The sequence below is a fragment of the Homo sapiens genome, chromosome 13 (assembly GCF_000001405.40).
Source record: "Homo sapiens chromosome 13, GRCh38.p14 Primary Assembly".
In the NCBI taxonomy this organism is placed as follows: Eukaryota; Metazoa; Chordata; class Mammalia; order Primates; family Hominidae; genus Homo; species Homo sapiens.
In genome coordinates, this window is record NC_000013.11 from 105672628 (window position 1) to 105697582 (window position 24955).

Consider the following 24955-nt stretch of genomic DNA (forward strand, 5'->3'; position numbering starts at 1 on the left):
GAAAAAAAAACCAACAAATTTCTGAGAACTGATTTCAACATCTTACTGGTTCTTTCGTTAAACTGATGAGTTAAATAACATTTGACATATGTTTATTTGATATTTCCATGAGAATTGTGATTTTACCTGTGGGAATGTTATGTGTTAATGGGTTTAGAGGTAGATTATCTGCCAAAATGTCTAGTTCATCAACTTAGAGTCAGGTAAACTGTGGGGCTGAAGAAATGGACCTCCTGAATTGCTTAAGCCCATGAACAATTTTCCTGCCTCCCAGAGAGGGTATCAAATGGCAATAGATATTTAACCTTGTTCACTCTGTTTCTTTAACTTTGTTTCCTACTAACTATATATTTTGTTTTGTTGCTGAGTAAGACATAGCTGATGGCTTATTTTCCACTGGAGGAAGCAATTAGGAATTTGGCTTTATGATCTGCCAATTCGATGATCTCTGTAGGTCTACTGTCTGTTGAATAAAAGATGACGTAATCGGCTTATTATTCTTATTGTCTATTTTGTTTTACTTGTGAGCTCAAATCAATTGAGAATTTTATGCACATTGGGAAACTGAACTTCTCTTTGAGATCTCAGCCATTGGATTTTTGCATCTTTGTGTGTATTCTTGACTCGTGGCTGAAGTGGAAGATATCAGGCTGTGAGTTCTCTAACACGTTTGTGACTCTGTAATTGTGAAAGGTCTTGACCTCAGTTAGTGGATATAAATGTTCCTATCTCTTTAATTAAAGAGGTACTATTCTAATTGGCTTTTAAAGATAAATGTACATATAAATCCAATTTTTCCAAATTCAAAAAAAAGAAAAATAAACTAATACTTTAAATACACTAGATTAAAAATATCATCTTTAATAGTGTATTGTATACTTAAAATTTGCTAAGTGGATAGATATTAAGAGTTTTCACCACAAACACACAAAGATAACCATGGTATGTAATAGATACATACACTAAGTTGTTTGTGATTGTCACGTCACAGTGTATATGTATGTCACAACATCAAGTTGTACATTAAATATTTGGTTTGTGTAAAAGTAATTGCTGTTTTGCATCAACCCAACATATACATTTTTTATGTTAATTATAAACCAATAAAGTTGGAAAACATTAAAAATGTTCTTATAAAACCTTTAGTTCAGAAGCATTTTTAAATTCCAAGTTTATCTAATTCCATTATTAGGCAAATTATATAAATAATTTCATTTATTAAAAAGTCTATATGTTTTTTCTGATAAAGCCACACTAAATATAATTTGACCTACAATTCACTCTATTTTGGTTGCTTTTCTCATGATGATAAGAGTCAAACTGCAATTTCTGAATTTATAGTGGTCTATCGATCATAAAAACTAACATTATTTCTGCACAATGTGTAAAATATGAAAAATTGCATTAAATTAAATTATTATTATGATAAACCTTTTCTGTCAATAGTAACTATGTGTTGCAGTGTGACAGCTTTAACTTAGTTTCTAACTTCCTTAGGTTACTTAAGACCTTGACTAATGTTAAATACCCTTAAAATTGGAGAATTCTTAGAAAACAAAGTAACTTCTAATGAATGTATAACAGTTGAGTCCTTGACTACTAAATATAAATTTAAGTTTACATACTTGTGCTTGTTATTTTTATATGCTGTCCAGAAGACTATCTCTTGGGATACATCTATATCAATGAGTATATTTATTTTTGCCATGGCAAGCAGATGTAAAGGATGGATGACACGGCCACCAGGTGTGTTTCCTGTGACCTTTGGTAATACAGTAAATACTGTATGACATCCGTTCTTAATTATTCCCCCATTAACCCAGTTTTTTCTATGAAATAAGCTTAATCAAATGGGTGATTGAGACTCTACTAAGGATAATAGAGTCAGGGAAACACAAGTGTGTATATTTTTGTCTTTCGAGGAAAAGAATTAGTTTTGTATTTTAGAAAAGTGACAGATCTTTCCAGAATATGAAAGAGTATAGTGAAAAACAAAACTTAGAAATTGAATTTTGTCTTTGTTAATAACACATTAATCTAAAACAAAACTAAAATATTTTATATTTTGGCAAATTTCACTCTGTTTTTGATGTGCTTGTTCCCTTGGTTTAATGATGCGTGACTTGCCTACAATGTGAAAAGTCATTTTTTAACCTTTTGTGTAATCAAAATTCTGATAATAGGTGATAGAGATTCTGTATCCCACTTGAATAATTTTTCTGTGTTTACTTTCATATATCTTTGATTACTAAAAATAAAACATTTTCTAGCTTTGGAAAGAGCTAAGAATATTTATAATTGTGGAAACTTCTAAGTTTACTTTAAAATATTTTGATGTCATTTTGATGAATTAACCAACCACTGTTTTTTAGGTATTCATGATCTTATCCTAAATAAGTGCCCAAATCTCCACCAACAATTATTTAGATTTTGGCTTTCTAAGATTGTATCCTAAATTAAGAAAAATGAATCAAATGTCTACATCTCTTTTGAGATTTCATAAAAATTTATTCTTTCACCTTAAGAAAAGAGTGATGCTACAAATAATTATGTTTTGTGATGTGCACTATATTTCTTAAATTACCTCGACACTATGGTGAGAGCTGCATAGCAAGCATTATTAAATTGGGAAAGATCCTCAGCTATTGCTAGATAAAATTTAAACAGAAAAATATTATTGTATTAGTCTCTTTGGCTGCCATAATAAAATAACACTGTCTGGGTGGCTTGAACAACATAAACCTATTTTCTCACAGTTCTAGGGGCTGGAAATCCAAGACCACGGTGCTGGCAAGGTAGGTTTCTTGTAAGGTCTCTCTCCTTGATTTGCAGATGGCCACCTTCTCACTATGTCCTCACATTGCCTTTTCTTGTAAGCATGCTCCTTGTGTCTCTCCCTCTTCTTATAAGGACACCAGTCATATTGGGGTTCTTATGATCACAGTACCCTGCCCTTACGATCTCATTCAAACTTCATTACCTCCACAAAGCCCTTATCTCCAAATAGAGTCCTATTCGTGGTTAGGAATTTGATGTATGAACTTCAAGGACACAATTTCATTTATTAATATAAATTATTAATATAAATATTTTAGAAATTATATAATTCATGGGAAGGTCCAGAAGATTTGCCAGTACTCTGGCTGTACATGATAATTCCCAGCACAGGAGAAACATTGCCAAACTCTTATGGAATTGTTGCCTACTACACCCCATAGAGAATTCCCCTCTTCTCCATTCTGACATCACTGGTTATTATAATAAATTGGCCACAGCCATTCAGTCTTTGTCATGTACAGGTAGTTTCTCGTTACTCTGATGTTGGATACTGATGTAAGATTCACACCACAGTTTGTCTTCAGTAAAAGAGGGCTCTTAGAGCCTTGTGGAAATGTTTGTACCAGCAACTTTAACTTTTTATACTTCCAGAATGGTCTCTTATGTAATATCACCTGCTAAGGTGATATTACTTAACCAACTCTCAGAGGGTAACCATCTACCGAGTCAGGCTTTCCAGGACACTGTATTTATTTATTTATTTATTTATTTATTTATTTATTTACTTACTTAATTTGAGATGGAGTCTCACTCTGTTGCCCAGGCTGGAGTGCAGTGGTGTGATCTTGGCTCACTGCAACCTCCGCCTCCCAGGTTCAAGCAATTCTCCTGTCTCAGCCTCCCGAGTAGCTGGGACTACAGGCACCTGCCACCATGCCTGGCTAATTTTTGTATTTTTAGTAGAGATGGGGTTTCACCATATTGGTCAGGCTGGTCTTGAACTCCTGACCTCAGGTGATCTGCCCGCCTCGGCCTCCCAAAGTGCTGGGATTACAGGTGTGAGCCACTGAGCCTGGCCAAGACCTTCCTCTTAAAAGCAGGGTTCCTGAGAACAGGAATGAACTACATAGGTGAGAGGAAAATGCAAGTATTGTAGAATACCATCAATGTTGTTTTTAGTTTTAAAAGATATATATCAAAGTGCTTTCTTCTTAAGATTTGAAGCAAATCTTACCCTTAATTTCATAGACTCTGCTCTTGATGAAATGAAACATTTAAGAAATGTATCTGATTCTCACTGACTCCCCAGAAGTAATAAGGTTTACTAAATTTCCTAATGTTTTATGAAACTGCTGTATAGATAGTTGAAAAGGTCCACTAAGAATCTGTCTTCCTTTTTATTAGGATATAATTGGACAATTTGATTCTACACTCAAGACCTTACTTAGTATCATATTTGAAAATAATTCTCATTTAATCAAGTCTGACTATCCCACTATTATAAAACACGTTTGACATTATGTGTGGAGTAAACGCCTCAAAGCCTCCCCAGGAAAAGCACCCAAGTACCTGGCTCAGAAGGTCTCAGGATCAAAGGCAGTAACAAAGGTCTCTCCTTGGTACAGGATGTGCCTCAGTCAATTTAAAGGATTCAGTTGAATGTAGGAAATGCAGGTGAAATCTGCTGGAGAAAGTTTCTTGTGGTCAGTTTCCTCGTCTTAGAATATGTTATGGTTTGGCTCTGTGTCCCCACCCAAATCTCATCTCGAACTGTAATCCCCATGTGTCGGGAAAGGGGCCTGGTGGGAGGTGATTGAATCATGGAGGCAGACTTCTCCCTTGTTATTCTTGTGATAGTGAGTGAGTTCTCAAGAGATCTGGTGGTTTGAAAATGTGTGGCACTTCCCCCTTTGTTCACTCGCTCTGTCTCCTGCTCTGCCATGGTAAGATGTGCTTGCTTCCCCTTAGCCTTCTGGCATGATTGTAAGTTTCCTGAGACCCCTAAGTCATGCTTCCTGTTAAGCCTGCAGAACTGTGAGTCAATTAAACCTCTATTCTTCATAAATTACTCAGTCTCAGGTAGTTCTTTATAGCAGTGTGAAAATGAACTAATAAAGAAAAGAAAATCATAGGGATTTTTAGAAGACCAATCAAAGATTTCTTTTGAAAACTCCTAGTCATAAGTTTATTCTCTGGTCTTAGTAGTTGCTTAATAATTCATTGATTAAGAACTACAGAATAAACTCAAAGATGCCCATATGGTTAGTTTAAATTCTTCTGCAACTATGTAAATATCAGGTCAAACCTTATGGGCATCCTTGGCCTGTTTGAGATTAAGAATTTTCTTTCAATATTATTTTTATTACTAGTGGAGATACTGTCAGGAAATGGGCAAAAGAAATGACTAGGTGTCCTTTCAGTGAAATTCTGGAAATTATTTTAGCAGGATTTCTGGGTGATTATCTGACTTGATAGGAATGCACATTTTGGGTTAATTCTTATGTTATTTTACAATTCTGTAGAGTTAGAACTTAAATTGTAAAAAAAAAAAAAAAAAAAAGACAGTAATACCAATGTTTCCTTCCATAGGCATGCAAATAATTACTGTTATCTGAAAGTAAATGGAGGCCCAATAAATTTTAAAAGAATAGTTTATTTGAGCAAGCAATTCATGAATTGGGCACCTCCAAAGTAGAACTGGTTCAGGAGCTTTACTGAGGAAACAGAAAGAGGAGGCTTTTATAGAACAACACAGAAGTAAATCAGAGAAAGCATTTGGTTGGTTTCAGTTATACAGTTGCCTTATTTGATCTATCCCATCGGAAAGTCCCCCCAGTTATAGGATTATAAGTGAGTAGACTGCTTCTGACTGGTTAAGCTTAAGTTCTGTTTTGAATACAGGCATTTACAAGAAATAGCTCAAGCTGACATTCACTTATGTTTGCAAATCAAACAAGGTTGAGGTCACTTATGAGGCCTGACTAGTGTTGTCTGCTCAGGGATTCTTCAGGCCTTGTCTCCACTTTTTAGCACATTTCTTAGCAATATAAATACATTCTGTGCCTTGGAGAATGCATATATCTGTATATCAAATTATCATTTAAACCAGTTGCAACATTTTACTTCTCTCACTAATATATCTCCAAGGAGACAAAGCAGGAAGAGTCAGAAGCATGGAAGGAAAACAAGCAGGTTGTGGTATTAAAGTCTCCAAAGTGAGAGGTGCTTCAAGAACGATAAAGGGTTCACCGCTTGACTACTTCTTGTGCTCATGAAAGGGAAAGTAGGACGAGGAGAGAAAATCACCAAGAGAACTGTTCAGGGAAGTGACAGGGCAGCGGAGAGTGGTGTCATTTGAGGAGAGACCAAAGAAAATGCTGGTAACCAGTATGGACAGCAGTGGTGTAATAAAAATTGTACTTCATCTTTTTCCCCTGTTCTTGGCACAGAACTACCAAAACCCTCGGGACTAGCAGAAATGGGAGTGCCTTCTGTTATTCATAATAAGCCCCTTTCTACTACACCTGTGTTTATGCCACTGAGGTAACCTAGGGTGCGGCCCTCTGTATAGCTTCAGGATAGGGCTGGTCACAACAAAGACCAAATGGTGATTAGGCGTTGGAAATCTTCAGCTATACCCCCTAACCTCCAGGGAAAGGAGGGTATTAGAGATTGGGTTATAAAAACTCGTGAGCAAAAGAGATTCAAGGAGCTTCCAAGCTGGCAAACACATGGATGTGCTGGGAGGGTGGTGCCCCCAGAGAGGGTGAGGACGCTCCCAGTCATTCCCCTACCCCATACCCAGCCCGTCCTGTGCACCACTTCCATTTGACTGGTCCTGAACTGTCCTTCATAATAAACCAAAAAATCAGTAAGTGTAGTGTTCTCCTGAGTTCTATGAGTTGTTCTAAAAAGTTGTCACATTTGGAGGGGTGGGAATGGTGGGAACCCTGTGTTTGTAGTGGGCCTGGCAGGAGACCAGGAAGGCTGGCACTCTTTTTGTGGCTGGCATGTGATATGGGGGCAATCTTGTGGCATTGGGCCCTCATCCCGTGGGTTTTTCTCTAACTCTGGTTAGTTAGAATCCAATTGAACTGCTGTCCACACAGATGGTGTCAGAGTATTGGTTGGTGTTTGGAAAAAAAATAATAATAATACAAGAGCTTTTAGAGAAGTCTGGTTTTCACGAAGAGACAATGATATGGAAGGAGTGGAATCAGGATACACGTATAAACCAATGACATCTTCTGTTCTCTAACCTTTTTAAAAGACTTTTATGGGTATTCTTTAGTAGATCCTCACAAGAGTCCTGTAAGGCAGGGGGAGATGACATTCCTATTCCCATATTACAGCAAACAGCTGTCCCAGGAGGCCAACTGGGACAGTTGTTCAAGCCCACGTAACTATTTGGCCGTTGATCTGGAACATTAACCCTAATCTCCAGTTGATGTGAACGTTCTCTTTTGGCTCTAAAAGTATAAGACCTGAAATCTCTCAATTTAAATTCAAAAATCAATTTAAAATACAGAATCAGAGAGATCTGCCTCAGCAGCTAGGGCTGTATTTGAAAGAGAAATAATGGAATCTCCTTTTTATGACACTGAGATCATCACCAAGTCCATATAAAATGACTCATTAGCTTCAGCGTGCACTGGTCTGAGCAGACCTCCCGGCGGGAATCTCTGCCCAGGGCCTCTGCAAAGGGACATGGACAAAGTTGTCTGAAAGAGAGGAGAGGGTTGGAAGGGCAGTCCACCTGGACACACTGTCCTGGGGGAAGGACCACAGAACAAAAGAAGACTCAGGGGATTCTAGTAATTGTTTTTAAAAATGAAAAGTACTACAAAAAGAATACATTTGGTTTCTGTTGTTCTGGTGGGCAAAACATGGATCAATTGATTCAAATCAATATAAAAAAAATTTTCTGACAACCACAAATGTGCATTAGAGAAATGGACAGCCTAAGAGTTATTGAAGTCTTCATCCTGAGGATGCTTGTGAAGGTGACTTTGGTTGATAAAGTGTGAGAAATAGCACAGTAGCTACTTCTACACCTCTCGGGAATTGATATTAAAATCATTCCTAACTTTGGCAGCTCTGATTTTAAGAAAAGTTATTTGGGACTTTAAGCATTGAAAACCAAGAAGTTTGGTGAATCATTCAACTTTGAATTCAGTAAATCAAATCCAGAAATATACCTCGGGAAGGTAAGGCACAATTACACCAAACAATTTCCATTTCTTGGTGAAAGACAAAGGTATTTGCTGCAGTGAGTTCGATAAAGTTTATGCTACAGTACAAGGGGGAACAGATTATGACACTTACCTTCCATTCTGCTTTCATAAAAGTAGTTTTGTGGTGCTTCAGTTTACACAGGTTTGTCTTTGTTTGTGAATGTGGGCTGGAGATTCAGTGGGGAAGGCAGGAGAGACAGAGGCAGCGGCCCAAGGCCTGTTTGTCTTCAATAAACTTACTAAAATAGAAAAATATAACAATCCTTTGGGATAGTGGCAAAATAATGTTTTATTCAAACATAGTAAATGCAATACATTGTAAAGTACTTTTAATTTGTTAAGATCATTCTTAAAAAAGTTTGAAGATAAGCTAATGATTAAAATGTGAAGGAAATTAGATTAAAAGAAAAACTCTCAGGTCCGGAGAAACAGGGGTGTTGTCCTCCACCAGGGATTGCAGATTCAAGGCCCCCAAAACCAGGCAGGGCCCATATCAGCAAATTGGGAGGGTTATACCCACTAAATTGCTTTATAGACTCATCATTGCCAACATGTTTTTAAATATTTCGATGTAGCTTCATTTAATTTGATTAAAAAACAATTCAATGAGAATTTTCTTTTTAGTTCATAAAACTTTGTATCCTATTTCTTATATATTGGTGATAGATCTTACTAAATTTATTTCATAATAATGCTCGAAATTGTACACTTTTGACACACTAGCTTAGGATATCAAGTTTTTGCAATGAATTATACTCCCACCTTTGGTCTATTTTTCATTTTTCTAAATTTTGACAGACAAAGGTACAATAATATTTCACATTTCCCTTAACTATAAGAAAAACAATAGCACAAATCAAAGAAAATCGGAAATGTTATACGGTCAGTCTCAGAGTGCAGGAGTAGAGTCAAGGAAGTAAAGAGTGCCCAATACCCGCCATCTTCAGAAACGGCCTCGCTGCAGCTTTTGTTTTTTTTGTTGTTTTTTTGGTTTTTTTTGAGACGGAGTCTCTCTCTGTTCCCCAGGCTGGAGGGCAGTGGCGCCATCTGGGCTCACTGCAAGCTCCGCCTCCCGGGTTCACGCCATTCTCCTGCCTCAGCCTCCGGAGTAGCTGGGACCACAGGTGCCCGCCACCGCGCCCGGCTAATTTTTCGTATTTTTAGTAGAGACGGGGTTTCACCATGTTAGCCAGGATGATCTCGATCTCCTGACCTCGTGAGCCGCCCGCCTCAGCCTCCCAAAGTGCTGGGATTACAGACGTGAGCCACCGCGCCCGGCCTCGCCACAGCTTTTTCAAGGTGTCAGGATGGGAAGGCCTGAACTCATTTTGAAAAGAGAAGCTAGAAGTGCAAACTTGTATGTAAAATCATCTACTTTTTAAACTGAAAGCAACTAGTTTAATTGAAATAAGAATACCTACACTATGATACCCACACTGTGCTGGCAAAGTTCCCAAGCCTTATCTTTAACATTTCCCCATAGTTTTTCTAAGGTATACTTAGGTTATGTTATTTTTATTTATTTATTTATTTATTTATTATATAAATATTCTTAAAATAAATTGTGTCTCATATATCATTGTCATATTATCTAAATATTAAACTAATGGATTTGTGTAACTCACAAATAAATACATTAAAATATTTTTAAACGTGTTTATTCAGTTGGGAGAGTTACTTTGAGAGCTGAATGAGTATTTGTACTCATTAATTTTAGTATATTTTAGGTGCATATACTATTTATCATGAGTACTCATTTCTGTTGTTTTTTTTAAAATACGTACTTAAACCTCTTCTCTCCCAAAGTTAAGACTAATAAGTAAGTTATACATTATTTCCAATGTTTAATGTAAGTTATAAAAGTAGGGTTCTTTTTTACTAAAATTGAGGGAATGGAAGTTTTAAAAGACCCAAATTTGTTTGTAAGCTGTAGGTTAAAATATAGCATCAGAATCTTTTGAACTAAAGAAAACTTTAGGGAGAAGCTATTTGAACAATTTTCTTTAACAGATTTTATTTAATTTGATTTAATTTAAATTAACAGATTAACATTTAACATGAATAACACGAAAAAAAATGTGTTGAGTACTATGTCACCAGGCAATAGTAGGAATATAATCCTGTTTTCACATTAAATTCTGATAATATTTACCCACTTCTTTAACCTGATGGTATGGTTTTGATAGCACTATCACTGAGATATATATTTACCTTGTAGAAATATGACAAGCTTTGAGATTGTATCTGTAATTCTTTTTTCTCTACTACTTATTAATCTGTGTCCTAGAAGAAGCATTAATATGTAATGTGTGTACATGTGTTTATGCTCTGTGTGCATGTTTGCGTGACAGAGTATTTATTTGTGCACACCATTTTACATGTGTAATTTTAAAAACGGATTATGTAGTTTTAAAATGTTTTAGGCTTCTATCCTCCTGTAGTCAAAAAATAAAATTCTAACACGACAGAATTTGGAGGAGCAAAGCTCTGGACAGAAATATTCTAAAACCTAACCCTTGATCAATTTCATTGGCTTCATTTAACAATACAACATATTTTATAAACATAGAAGTATAACTTATCAATAAAGAAAACTCTTAATAAGAATGTTTCTGATTTATCAAAACGTATTTTACAATCTTGCATTTTGATACTTATTTCAGGAATTTTCTAAAATCATTTTTTTTAAAAAGCTTAAGGGAGAAATGTACTTAATTTATAATGAGAATACTTTGTTAGTTATGAAAATATCTTACAAAATATTGCCATATATAAGAAACTAAAAACTTCCATTCCACAATGGAGTTTGATTCTCTGAGATTTAACTCAACTTAGATCGTAAATCTGATTTGATCAACATTATAGAAATCATCTGCTAATACTACAAGAATAAATAAAAACTAGAGAGACCAATGATAGGATGGCTGTTAAGTACTTGCCTGATTACTGATGGGTCTGTGGGATTCCTAAATCGGACATCCTTTTTTAGTTTAATTGAATATGGATTCAGAGGATGGCCTTATATAAATTCTTATATCATTATGTCCCAATAATCTCAGATTTAAATATGAATATACAGTATTTAAGTTTAAAATGCACTGTATGTCATTTTATTAAAGTAAGACAGACTTTCTCAAGAAATTAGAGATCAGTAGGTATCAAAATAATAAAATCAAATTTGTAAAAAAAGAAGCAATTAATAAAAGTGTTGATACTAAAAAAGTGAACCAACTAAATGTTTATTATGTTATAAGTCCATAATGGCAGAGAAATAATATCCTTCTACTATTTTTAGGTGCTGTTTTCCTGTCTCCTCTCAGGGTTCATCCATTTTTAACATGTTTGTGGTCATTTTCAAAAAAAAATAGTTTGCTGGTCAATTGTCTAAACCTAATACCCATCAAAGAGAATTGCGAATAATAAAATTATCTAACAGAAAAGGGCTAACGCGGCTGATTATTAACATAGTTTCTCAGTTAACTGGCAACACTGAAGACCAACATCTCATGCAATTGTCAGGAATTAGGTTCTCCCCTTTACTATCATTGAGTCACACTTGAAAGCTTAGTCAAATAAAATGATATTTATGAAAAACTGTTTGGGAGATATAAAATTCACCCCATTCTAGCTGTTTCCCACGATTCTTGGATGAAGTCAAATCATCAGAGAGCTACATATGTGGACATCACTCAATGTCCTTCCACTTTCCTTTTTCCAAAAAGCGTTTTGCTAAGTTGGAGTTTGTAATGATGTCATTGCTTTGTCTGGAAGGATATTTTAAGAAATAATTACAAGAAGATGTTTCTAAAGATGATATTCATTATCTTGCACAGTGTTCTCCTTAGGAGAGTAGATTTGAAAATTATTTTCTGTAGTATTTATAGCAGGACTCTTTCATTCCTATTAAATGGCTTGCTTTTCACCCAGGGACTCTGATTTTGGTCACTGCATTTTCCCGTCTGCACTGCTAATGTTTGGAGTTGAACTCGAAGCTCCTTGTTTGGAAGGACAATGATGTCACAGACAAACTTTGTGGACTGACTTTGCTCCTGGATTCTTTTTTTTTTTTTAATTCATTTTCACTTGCCTCATTTTTCTACCTCTTAAAGCATATCTTACTTTGTAAACTGTAAAGCAAACTATTTTTTTTAGGAAAAGGCTAAATTAAAAGGCAGAAATACATCAAAGTAAGAATATGAAGGAGCACGAAAACTGTAAAGCCTAAATATGTGTGGTTTTGTTCTGCATTTTGGAATAGTGCTGTTTTTCCTGTACTTGTTTTCTCTGTGAGTACTTTCCAATCAATCACAACTTCAGTCACACCTGAGACAGCATTTGTGAAGCACTGGCAATTTACCTGATTTAATTTCATCAATGGAAACAGCCAGTCTTGGTAATTCAGCCTCCTAATTTAACTTTGTCTACATTGATGAAATTAACTGACACATTGCCAAATTCTTCCCCTCCTTTTTCTTCCTTTGTTTTAGGAAATTCAAAAGAAAAGGGAAGGAAAGAAGAGAGAGAAATAGGAAAAACTTAGCTTTTCTCTTCAGGCTACAGATATCACTGAAGCACTTGCCAAATAGGATGCGGAGAATCTGTAAATTTACCGGCGTTTATGCCATGGATTGTGGACATAGGCCACCTAATTGAATTGTCACCATTATATGACACAATAGAAAAGAGTATAGACTCTGTGAACAAAACTCAGAGGGTCCCATTCCTATCTGGGTGTGTGTGTGTGTTCCATTAATTGTTCATAACTATTTGCTGTAAAGTGAAGAACACGTATAAAGTCATGTAACATGGATACCATTAATCCAGTTTGAAGGGAGATAAAACTCATGTTGAGGTAGGCATGTGGGGTTGTTTGAGATGGACAAAGACACAGAAAGCTGATATGCCATGAGATGTGGCACAAATTGATTTATCACTATCAGGTAAGTTACTGTCAGTCAAATATTGTGAAATTAAAAAAGAACAAGACAAAAATAAGCAAATTTAAAAATAACTGAGCTTCTTTCTCATTTAGTGCAGGAGAAACTTTCAGGTTAACTGTTTTCATCTTTTTTAAAGTGGTTACGATTCCATAAATTGTAGATAACTGATTGCAGTTTAAATGACACTTGCCCATAGAAATGCAAATGAATTTTGTCCCTGGAAATAACTACTGATTCCTGGACAACGACCCCAATCTCCATGGAAAAAGCCAGTTTTGCATCATTTTGTACATTCATTTCAAAATTCCTGATTTATGTATATATGTGTTTATTTTGAATTTTGAATTCTACCTTGAATTGGGTGTAGCATCATACCCATTTCTTCATTAGTTAAAGAGTTAAATAAAATATTTGACATGCATTCATTTGATATTCATATGAGTATCATGATATTACCTTTTTAAAATAGTTACTCTTTAGTGTCAATACATTTTGTTTTCAATAATGCTCCTCTTCATAATTCTTAAATATGTTTTAGGGATATGTAATGGCGTTACAGCAGAGATTCATTTCAACCATGACTTTGTAAGTAACTATGTTTTCTATGTAAGAGCATCTAATTGTGAAGAGTCAATGGATTTCATGATAGATGTATGTTATAAAATTATATCTTAAAACATAGCATTTAATCCTTCAATGGAATGTTGAATGGGTCTTTTCGTCAGTCCTATTTTATAGTCCAGTGGTATTAAAGAAACTTTAAGGACTGAAGTCATGATGATGAGTGGCACATAAGTGCTCAAGAGAAGGCTTAAGGGAGAGAACACCTGGGCAGGAGAGCATGGCCATATGAACTCAGAGCTTCAGTGAAACAATTAATGTTTTCTTTAAAAGGGTAAGAGTGCAAAGACCAGACTTCAGAAAAGATACATAAATTGACATTCTGACCAAAAATGGACTTTATTTGCCTTCTTGCCAATAGTGGCTATGGCCCATTTTCTGAATCTTTATGAAGTTATAAGGCAAAACATATATCATTGCTTGTAGTAGCCTTCTTTTGATTACCAGAGATGGCCGTCGTTTCATATGTTTTGATTATTCGTATACATTCTGTATTTTCTCTCTTTATATCTTTGTTCATTTTAAAAATCAAGACTTAATTCTTTGTGTTCTTCCTTGAGTAGCTATCAAAAATCTAAGCCTTTACAGCACTGAGTATGTATATTGCCCTCACATCAATAGTCTCGGTGATATTATTAGTGCTCTGTTGCAACTGCTGGAGATAGAGCACAGCTACTTTTCATTAAAAGAGTTTGGCAATCTCAATTGATTAGCTCCATGTCTTATTTTTAATAAATCCAAATTCTTTATTCCTCCTATCATCAAACTTGTCAAATAACCACCCTTCATTTCTTCACTTGCATTGATGCCCCAGCCCCTGCCATCTGATTTTTGTTAGCGCACCACTAAAATTCCTCTCGGGAAGAAGCCTTTCGTGACCTTTCAAATACAACAGATATTTTTCCGTTCTTACATTTAAACTCTACATGCTCAGATTCCATTGCCAAAACTTTCCCTGGGCACCTCGTTACATCTTTTAAAGGTCATTTTCTCTCTTGGTTCCATCTTCAGCCACAACTCTTCTTATGTTACTGCAGCAGGCAGAGGCTTGGCATAGAATATTCAGCACAAGGTCACTACTTTTTAACCAATGAGGAATATTTAATGAAGGTACTGTCTACGAAGGGGCAGGCAGGATTTAGGGGAATCAACTGAAGATGGCTGAGAACTATAGAGCTAGCAACAGTTGGGAGACCTCATCATCCCTTGACCTGAAGCAGCTAAGCAGACTCTAGAAGCAGCTGTGTGAAGAGGTGCACCTGCTGCAGCTGTGGCCTTTGACTGAGGATGACCCTCAACCTGCAGTTACCCCTTGACCCAGCAGAAAGGAAGCTGGGAAAACAAAACCTGTTTTCACCTTCCTGGGTCCCTGATTTTCTCTCTATGCCTCCTCTAGATGGTGCTTACCAAAACCCTGAGGATGGAAGAGTCCACTGGTGCAGTCCACTGGGCTCAGGGTGCTCTGGTGCCCAGACTACATGAAAGGGCAGATCTGAAGGGCAAATAGAAGACAAGAAGAGGAACAACCTGCACTCTCTAGATGTTCTCATCCATCCTTGTTCTCATCCATCCAACAACAGCCCACACGATGATGACGTTGACACTAATTGTAGGCCAGCAGTTTCCAAAGCTGGCAGTTTCTTATAATCGCCTGGGGAGTCTTTTTTTTTTTTTTTAATGAAAAAAAAAATTCAGGCGCACATCCCCATAAATTTTAATTTAATCAATCTGCAGTTGGGCCTGAGATTTAGTCATTTTAAGCAGTAAATTTCCTAATGTGCAGTCAGAATTGAGAACCAGTTTTAGATTATATATCCGCATTACATTTCAAACTCACATATGCTATTGCCTACTAAAAATCTCCACCTACATTTCCCATATGCATTTCAAGCTATATATGTACAAAATAAATGTTTTACTGTTCTCAAATGCATTTCCCCTGATATTGTTACATTTTAATCTTAGCCGTTGACAGTAATATCTAGCTAGGTACTCAAGATCAAAGCTGAAGATTCACAATGCTCTGACCGTTGTTTGCTGTTCTCTGCATCTGCTTTACTCTTTGAGCTGTATTTCCCTCTTTTTTGGATAAATGAACTCCTACTCTGCCATTAAAATGCATCTGTCATTTTGAAACTTTCACAACTACTCTTTTCACAGCAACTCATAGGACATCTTCAAACTTTTATTTCAAGGTGTTTTATACACAAGCAATACTTTCAAAAGTATAACTAAATATCTCATTTACCCCGCAGTAAGTTATAAAACAAATTTCAGCAGGTTAAAAATCACTGGCATTAAAAAACTGGCATTAATGCCTATTGATATTAATGTTGAAATAAGGAAAATTGCTAAGTTTGAATTTATAAAAGTACTAAAAACTACTGTTTTTACCTGTTTTGTAGTATGTCATAATGTGATTACATGTACATCTTTTGCTATAGGTAAAAACACCTCTGCTGCTATAATTTTTGAAATGTCACTCTTCTAGACTGTGAGACAAAGAAAGAGAAGGGAGAAGATTGCTGTGGGAGCAAAGGAGCTGGGGAGGGGTCCATGGGCTCCCGTCTCCCAGTGAGTCCACTCCACACCCTTCACAGTTCGCTATTACCCAGTGGCCTGTGGGACATTAGCTCTTTCCTTTGCTTTCACTTTCATTGTGACTATGAAAAAGAAAATGAAAATATAAACATCATTATAAAAAATGCGTCAAGCCTATTATGCATCTTCTCCACACTGGTTTTCTGAAACAGATGGGAGAGAACACGGCATCCTTCCTCCTTCACACTGAAATGCTGGCCAATTTCCCAGATTTCCACTGTAAGTCCAATATAGGACTAGAAGCCTTAGATATATGTAGCATTGTTTGAAACTAATACTTCAAATATACAAATTTCATGTATATTTATAAATATATTTATATATAATATGTTATCGATAATACATTATAATATAATGAAATGTGTTAACATGTAAACAATATTAATGGAAGGTTGTTCAATGGGTGTAGAGTCTCAGTTTTGCAAGATAAAAATGTTTTAGAGATCTGTTCCACATCAATATAAATATAGTGAACATGACTGAACTGAATACTTAAAAGTACTTAAGATAATAAATTTTATATTATGTATTTTATCATAATTAAAAGTTAATTATATAATTAATAAATTTTGAACAAAAGACATATTAGCATACATTTCTTCAAAACATTTCTAAACCAGTTAAGTATCTAATTCATTGCTCCAAACATTTCTGTGTTTATCTTATATGTTTTGTTGTGTATATTTTAATATATTGTGTTATACTATGTTTTTATGTGTCTGTCTATGTTCTCTCTTTTAGGACTTCACATCGATTTGTTGTGTCAGTAACTGTTCCTTGATGTTAGTAATCCCGACACTTAGTGTAGCGCATGCTCTGAAACTGACCCTCAAAAAATTCCTGGGTTAAATGAAGAATGAATGAATCAGGTTAAAAATATCAATCCATCTACCTTACAGACTTCTGGAAACGTAGTTCCTAAAATAACTGTGTGAGGTAATGCATATGTTAATTAACTCAATTTAGCCATTCCACAATGTATACATATTTTAAAACACCTTGTTGTGCAAGATAAATACACACAATTTTATTTGTCAATTAAAAACAAATAAAACAAGTAAATTGGCAAAAAGAAGAAGCATAGCTCTTAACTGCTGGTTAATTTGACACAGTATCATTGTGATTTCAGCCCATATAAAGGTGTTATTAATAAAAATTACTATCCACAAACCCCAGGGGGTCCTAAAAAGACTGTTCGGTAATTAACAGATGTTCCCACAATGTCCTGTTGTTTATGAAGGTAACTGTTTCTACAATTAAATACTGAACACACACTCCAGGCATTTTTCCAGGTGGTTTTACACATACTCTACTTGCTAATCTAATCTTTTCGTTTGTTTGTTTGTTTTTGTTTTGTTTTGTTTTTTTTAGATGGAGTCTTGCTCTGTTGCTCAGGCTGGAGTGTAGTGGCGTGATCTCAGCTCACTGCAACCTCTGCCTCCCGGGTTCAAGCAATTCTCATGACTCAGCCTCCCAAGTAGCTGGGAATACAGGCGCATGCCACCATGCCTGGCTAATTTTTTTTTTTTTTTTGTATTTTTTTAGTAGAGACGGGGTTTCACCATCTTGCCCAGGCTGGTTTCAAACTCCTGATCTTGTGATCCGCCTGCCTCTGCCTCCCAAAATGCTGGGATTACAGGTGTGAACCACCGTGCTCAGCCACTAATCTTGATGTCAATCCTTAGAGGTAAGCATTCTCTTCCTCACTTTTCAATTGAGGAAATTAAGGCACAGAAAAGAAAAGTAATATCCAAAGTCATACAATCAAGTGTGTCATTGAAATTTTCATGTAAACCTACAGAAAGTGCATAGTCACCTTGATGAATTTTTCAAAGTAAACCCATCAGTAAAGCTAGGATTAGATCAGGAATTAAAACATCTTCATCACCTAGAAACTTCCCTCCTGCCCCAGCCTGGGTACACTAACTGCCAAAGGTAACCACTGACTTGTCTCACTGTAGAATAGTTTTGCTTGTATTTGAAATTTGAATAAAAGTTCTTACAGAGAATGTAATCGTAAACAGCCTGGCTTTATCCACTCAAGGAGTTTTGAGTTTCATCCATGTTGCTGGGTGTAGCAATAATCTACTCATTTTAACTGTGGTCTAGAATTCCATTCTATGGATATACCAAAATCCATCCATTCTACTGTTGATTGACATTTGGGCTTTTTCCCATTTGGAGCTATTCCAAATAATGCCACCATTAACGTTTTGTATAAATCTATGGTACACATATTTACAAATTTCTGCTGGAATGAAATCATAGGTTGTAAAAGATCTTGGAATTTAGTTCATTCATTTTTACTCAATTCCAGGGCTCTTTGACAAATCTGTGGCATATCATTAGGTTGTACTAAATCCATTTAGTCATTTTGCCATTCAACCATTTATTTATTGTATGTACGTGTGTGTATGTGTGTATATAGAGGAATGTGCCCATACACATGTATTATATATATGTATATGCCCATACACATGTATATATGTGAATATATACACATATGTGTACATGAGTATGTACATACACATGTATATATGTGTATATATACACGTGTGTATGTGATTATGCGTCCATACACATGTATATATGTGTATGTACATATATATGTGTGTGTGCGTGTGTATGTATACACATGGTTGGGGAAAGAAAGAGAGAAAAGATAATTAATAAAGTTTGTTATGCACCAGGTACTCATACTGTGCAGGTCCTGGTGATAGGATGAAAACCATCTGGAGCTCTTTCTTACCTTCATGGAATTATAATCCAATAGTTTGATTCACTGCAGTTAACCTAGAGGAAAAAAATAAAAACATATTAATATTTCTAAATTTCCTATATACATTCACAGAGCCAACTGAATTACCTTCAATAAATTGAAATGACCAAAAAAATTAATCACATTATAATTTCTTGCATTCATATGAGTTGGACTATTCTATGTACTCCCTGTTACTATACCCAAGGCTAGTGTTTATGTTAGAAAGGCACCCCGGGGTAAATAATCTCTCTAAGCCAAGAATCTGAGTATTATGGATTGCCAATGATTCAGTGTTCCTTTAACATCTTATGGAGGCCGCAAAACACATGTGGTAGAAAATCGACGCTGGCCAGAAGACTCACAATGACCGAATTTGATCACGGTTCTGTCACAGCCATTGTGCACCATCTTTCATTACTGGCTGGAACTTTCTGGGGCTGTTTCCAGTGTAAAAAAAGGGACTGATCCCCGTGAACACTATGGGCTTTTCAAGCTCATGGACTTCACATTTGGTTTATAGCTGGCAATTCTGGCATTATTTGAATTGTGGTGCAAAAAAAAAAATCCACTTTTAGGAAAACTATTTACAATACCCTAATATAGTCCTTTAAGAGAACATCTGATTGGGTTCATTTTACAACACACTACATGATATTTTTAAAGTGCAATAAATTCTAGTAGTTTTCTTTAGTAGGTAAAAATCCATATTTACCTTTTAGTTCATCTATTTAATATAGATAGTGAAGATCTAGTAAACAATTTGTAGGTTTTCTTACTAATCTGCTTCATTATTTTGTCATCATTTAGTAAAAATCCATCAACAAATGCTGCAAACATTAAATGGACAAGGAAGACCAACCAAAAATTATAATATTAGCTATGGCACACACATACACACACACTCACAAATACTGTATCTAATTCCATATCTTCAGCTCTCATAGAACAGGACTTTTCCTGCATTTTTTTATTCCATCTTCACTCAATTAAAAAACACATTTCTGAAGCATTTAGTGTGAGTTGCTATTTATGCCAGTCAATAATTCACATCATCTGCAAAAAATATGTTTGTATCCTTTCTACACCCGTTAGAGATGAAAGGAAGGAATTTATGTGCTAAAATGGCTTCATGTGCCCAAATCATGCAAATTCTCTAAGCCATTTCCTAAGATTTGCAGATGTGTAAATTGCATCTTTTTTTTAAAGAGTAGGTATACAACGGTATGAATCTCAAATCAGTTTTTGTTCCACCTCATAGTTCTTCAAATGATGAGAACTGATTTATTATTGAGGCATTGTCAAACTCTGAATGGAGTCTAATCTTCCATTTTAATCTTTTATGAGGCAACTGGGTAAAAAAAAATTACAAATGCAAACGATGTGTGTCAGTGTACGTATGCACACACACTTACATAATATCAGCATATATGTCACATTAATGGAGATTAGATCTCATGGAGCACCAGAGTGTCTTGAAAAAAACCTCCGAATGGTGACACTGAACAGGAAAAGGACTGCATTTAATAAAATCGGGACAACATAGCAAAATGTACACAGTGTCTGATACATAGAAAACACTCAATAAAGTGTTTTTCTACTCCCATAAAATCATGGGATCATTGTCTCTCTGAGCTTACAGCTATAGAATAAAGATGGGATGTTTTAAGTTGTGAGATTCTTTGTGCCTATTTTATTGTATTCATTTTTATACAGTATTAGTACAAACACTTTACCCATTTGAGAGGAAATTGCCTTTCCAAGACACCAGAGATGCATTTAATTCTATGGAAGAAACGTTATTCCAACTGATGTCCTCATGTCTTGGAAACCAACTGTTATGTTTTCTTTTCAGTGAGTTTATGGTAGTCTTTTAAAATCACATTGGTGGAAATATGTATGTATATATACAATACATGATATATATAATACATTATATATTATATATAAATTATAATATATTATATATTATGTATTATATATAAATTATAATATATATTATGTATTATATATAAATTATAATATATTATAAATTATATATTACATATTTTATAATATACACAATTTTTATATATAATTTTATAAATTATATAATTATATATAATATAATTATAAATTATAAACATGTAAATTACATATAATATATAATTTATAATATATAATTTTATACAACCATATATAGTATATAATATATTCCTTTATATGAATTTCTTCATTATATAAAGAAATTTTATTTATATATATAATTCTTTTATTGTATAAATATCTCTGTCTATCTATCTATCTATCTGTCTCTAATGCTTTGGGGTTTAAAAGCCATGCCAGTGGAAAATAATAATAGCATCATGTCTGAATACAAGTATGATAAATGCTGTGTGTGGTTGTAATAAATGTGAAGATGGATATAGATAAACTCTGACTTCCCAGTGGCCACCCTGGCTGATGCAAAAGACCATAAATCCTTTGTATTTATAAAGGAAGAATCAAAGTGCACTGGAATTTATTTTAACTCTTTTCAGATTTTCGGAGTAGTTCTTTTATTCTTCTCCCAAATATTCATTTACACTGTTTAGCAACTTTCTGAAGCATGAATAAAATTCGTAAAGCTGATAAGAAGCACTGGAATTCTCTATCTGTAACTTGAAACAAGATTTGGGTTGAACCTATGATGGCACATTGAATGGCTTGTATTTGGTGAGTTTTCTCTGTTACTCTTTTCTGAAGGGTTTTCTAAGTTTCTCCAGGTGTGCCCCTGGCAGGGATCAGGAAGCAGGAGCAATGGACAGGCAAGAGACACTGCTGAGGTGCCCTGTACCTTCTCCAGATGGCCTCCCTCTTCTCCTCTGAGACACAGTGCAATAATACCGTATGGATAGAAAGTCTGAGGCAGCATCATGGAAGCTGAGTCCCCAGAACCTGGGAAGGCTGGGAAGAATGATGGAGAGAGAAGAGCAAGGAAAGAGAGAGGGGAAGGTAGGAGCTGGAGAGTCCAAACAAACACTGAGGCTCTCCCTGTAACTTTTTGGCAATGGTTCTTGGGCAGCTCTTGCTCCTAGAGTTTGAACTGTAAGAACTTTGGCATTAGGTGTAGAATGTAATTATCTCTTAAGGAATGCACATCAGAATGTCAGTAATAAACCGAGTAATTTTAAAATCACTCATTTTTTGCTCATTTCTGCTGATATCTTGATATGGTTTGGCTGTGTCCCCACCCAAATCTCATCTTGAACTGTAACTCCCACAATTCCCACACGTTGTGGAAGGAACCTGGTAAGAGGTAACTGAATCATGGGGTGGATCTTTCCTGTGCTTTTCTTATGGTAGTGACTATGTCTCATCAGATCTGATGGTTTTAACAAACAGGAGTTTCCCTGCACAAGTTCTCTCTCTTTGCCCGCTGCCATCCGTGTAAGACGTGATTTGCTCATCCTTGCCTTCCATCATGATTGTGAGGCCTCCCCAGCCACGTGGAACTGTGCGTCTCTTAAACCTCTTTCTTTTGTAAATTGCCCAGTCTCGGGTGTGTCTTTGTTAGCACCATGAAAACAGACGAATATATATCTACACCATTTCTCAATATCTATCTCATAGCAGAGACTCACAATATTTTTCTTTGAAAGTTGTGAATTTGAATTGAAAATCTACCATCTTTCCTAATGGTACCACCCATGTTGATCTAATTTGTTTTTTCATTAAACTATCAATAATATTCCAATGATATACAATTGCTCTAAGAATACAGTAGTCCTCCCTCATCTGCAGTTTCACTTTCTGTGGTTTCAATTACCTGTGGCACACTGCCTTTTCAAAATATTAAATGGAAAATTCTATAAATAAACAATTCATAAGTTTTAAATTGTGCACTGCTCTGAGTAATGTGATAAAATCTGTGCTGTCCCATTCAATTCTTCCCTTGACATGAATCATCCCTTTTCCAGAGTCTCCATGCTGCAGACACAACCTGCTTATTAGGTCAATAGTAGGCCACCCTGCGTCATGATGCCTTTCTCATTCACCTTACTTCATCACATCACATCACATAGGCATGGTATCTTCTCACATCATCAAAAAAGGGTGAGTACAGTACAATAAGATATTTTGAAAGAAAGAGAGACCACATCAGACAACTTTTATTACAGTATATTGTTATAATTATTCTATTTTATTATTAGCTATTATTGTTTATCTCTAACTATGCCTAATTTATAAATTAAACTTTATCATACATGTGTATGTATATGATGAAAACATAGTGTGTGTAGGGCTTGGTACCATTCATGGTTCCAGGCATCCACTGGGAGTCTTGGAACATGTCCCACTAGGATAAGAGGGAGTATATCCCACCAGGATAAAGGGGAACATATTCCCACCAGGATAAGCGAGGACATACTCCCACCAGGGCAAGGGAATACTGTATCGTGAACATCAGCTATTGCAGGAAAGAAGAAAAAGCTTTAATATGCTGTTGCTTTCAAATTCAGCAGGAATTTGACAAGCATTTTTTGTGCTAAATATTGCTGTTTAAATTTTGGTCTTGAAAATGAAATCTTTCTTTGCCAAAAATGCCAAAAATGCCAACTATCTCATTTATTCATTAAAAAAAAAATCCATCTTTCTCTCTAGCATGTCAAAGACTTCTGGCCTAAAATGGAAATGTGGAGAAATCCCTTCCTAGAATTTCTCCTCAAAAGTGCAAACTTGCCTGCTGCTTCCCTTTTAGCTATGGCATTCTTGGTTTACAATTTACTCTCTCCTTCAACTGCCCTAGATTTATTCTCTCCCCAATTTATTCTCTCCATCAGTTGCTCCTAGAGGGCAAATGGTCTCTGAGCACCAAACCATGGCCCTGCCCTCGGTCATCACCATTCTGGGCCATGGCTGAACTGTGACTGCTTCCTAGAAACAGTCTAGGATCTTATGGAAGCCAAAGAAGATCTTCTTGAATTCCCCAGTTTATCTTATTCTTTTTAACTTCCCCTTATTGCCTTCATTGAGTCTTCCTATTCCCAGATGTGAGAGCCCCTACAATATAGTTTATCTGTACTGGTTCACTCAATGAGTGCACCTGTGGTTTTATTATATATGGTGGGTGTTTCTATTCTATTTGGTTATCTGTCTACATGGTAGTCTGCATGGATGACGGATTGTCACTTTGAATTCAATGTGTTCAAAATTGGATTCATTATCTTTCTCTAAAAACTGGTTTCCTTTAAAATAATTCATTTCTATCTGAGGTATGCCATCATCACAGCTTTTGCAATAAACCTTGGAAACATAATTTCTCATCCTCTTTTTTTCATAATCTCATTCCAAAGTTTCAGTGCTTTTCCTTCTAAAAATGATCACGTTGACCCATTTCTCTTTATTCCCATGTCACCACTTCATCACTAATTGCCATTGTTACAGGATTCCACATCTACATTATTTTCACAATTCTCATGGCATGGTCACTTTTGTCTCACAAAGCCCACCAGCCTTTTCCCAAACTTTTCCAATGCCTCCTATATTCACTGCCTCAAATCCAAATCTTTGCTTACATAAATCAAGCCTGCTCTCAGTTGAGGTTGTTTTGTTCTTTGTGGTTAAAATGGTTGAATCTGAAATAAACATACTAGTTTATTTATTATATTGTATATCTTCATATGTTTGTTTAAAAACTCTTTTTTTGGCTGGGAGATAATTTGATAATCTTCGGAATGGTAACAATTTATTACCATAGCCCTATTTCACGTTCTAACACTCAAACCTTGTCCCTTTTAACAGTTTCTTAGATGTTTCCTGTGAAAAAGAAAACCAGCCTCTTGATCTAAATATGCTATTTTATTTATTTCATTGTCTCCACAAAACTTTCCCTGAAACAGACACAACATCAAGAGCATTTCTCACTATTTCTTACATCAAATTACTAGGCTTGAAAGCAATTCAGGATCTCCCAATATTTTTTAATGGTTTTAACTTATCTCTTAACACAGTATAACTTGGGTCTCAATTTCTTTACAAATCAGTCCATTCTTCATCTTCCT

General features: G+C 35.5%; 1 long non-coding RNA gene across 5 annotated transcripts in view; it reads right to left on the reverse strand.

The window, feature by feature from the left end:
* The window catches only part of LOC105370345 (uncharacterized), a 134781-nt gene that overhangs the window by 100552 nt on the left and 9274 nt on the right, over positions 1 to 24955 (reverse strand). For 2 of the 5 annotated variants that reach the window (XR_931698.2, XR_931702.2), the window contains exons 3-5: positions 18924 to 18967; positions 8104 to 8251; positions 4348 to 4462 (exon numbers count right to left, since the gene is read on the reverse strand). This is a non-coding gene — a long non-coding RNA (uncharacterized LOC105370345). Of the gene's footprint in view, positions 1 to 3567; positions 3884 to 4347; positions 4463 to 8103; positions 8252 to 18923; positions 18968 to 24955 lie in introns of those variants that run through there. The other 3 variants (XR_007063936.1, XR_931700.2, XR_007063935.1) reach the window with 3 other exon arrangements.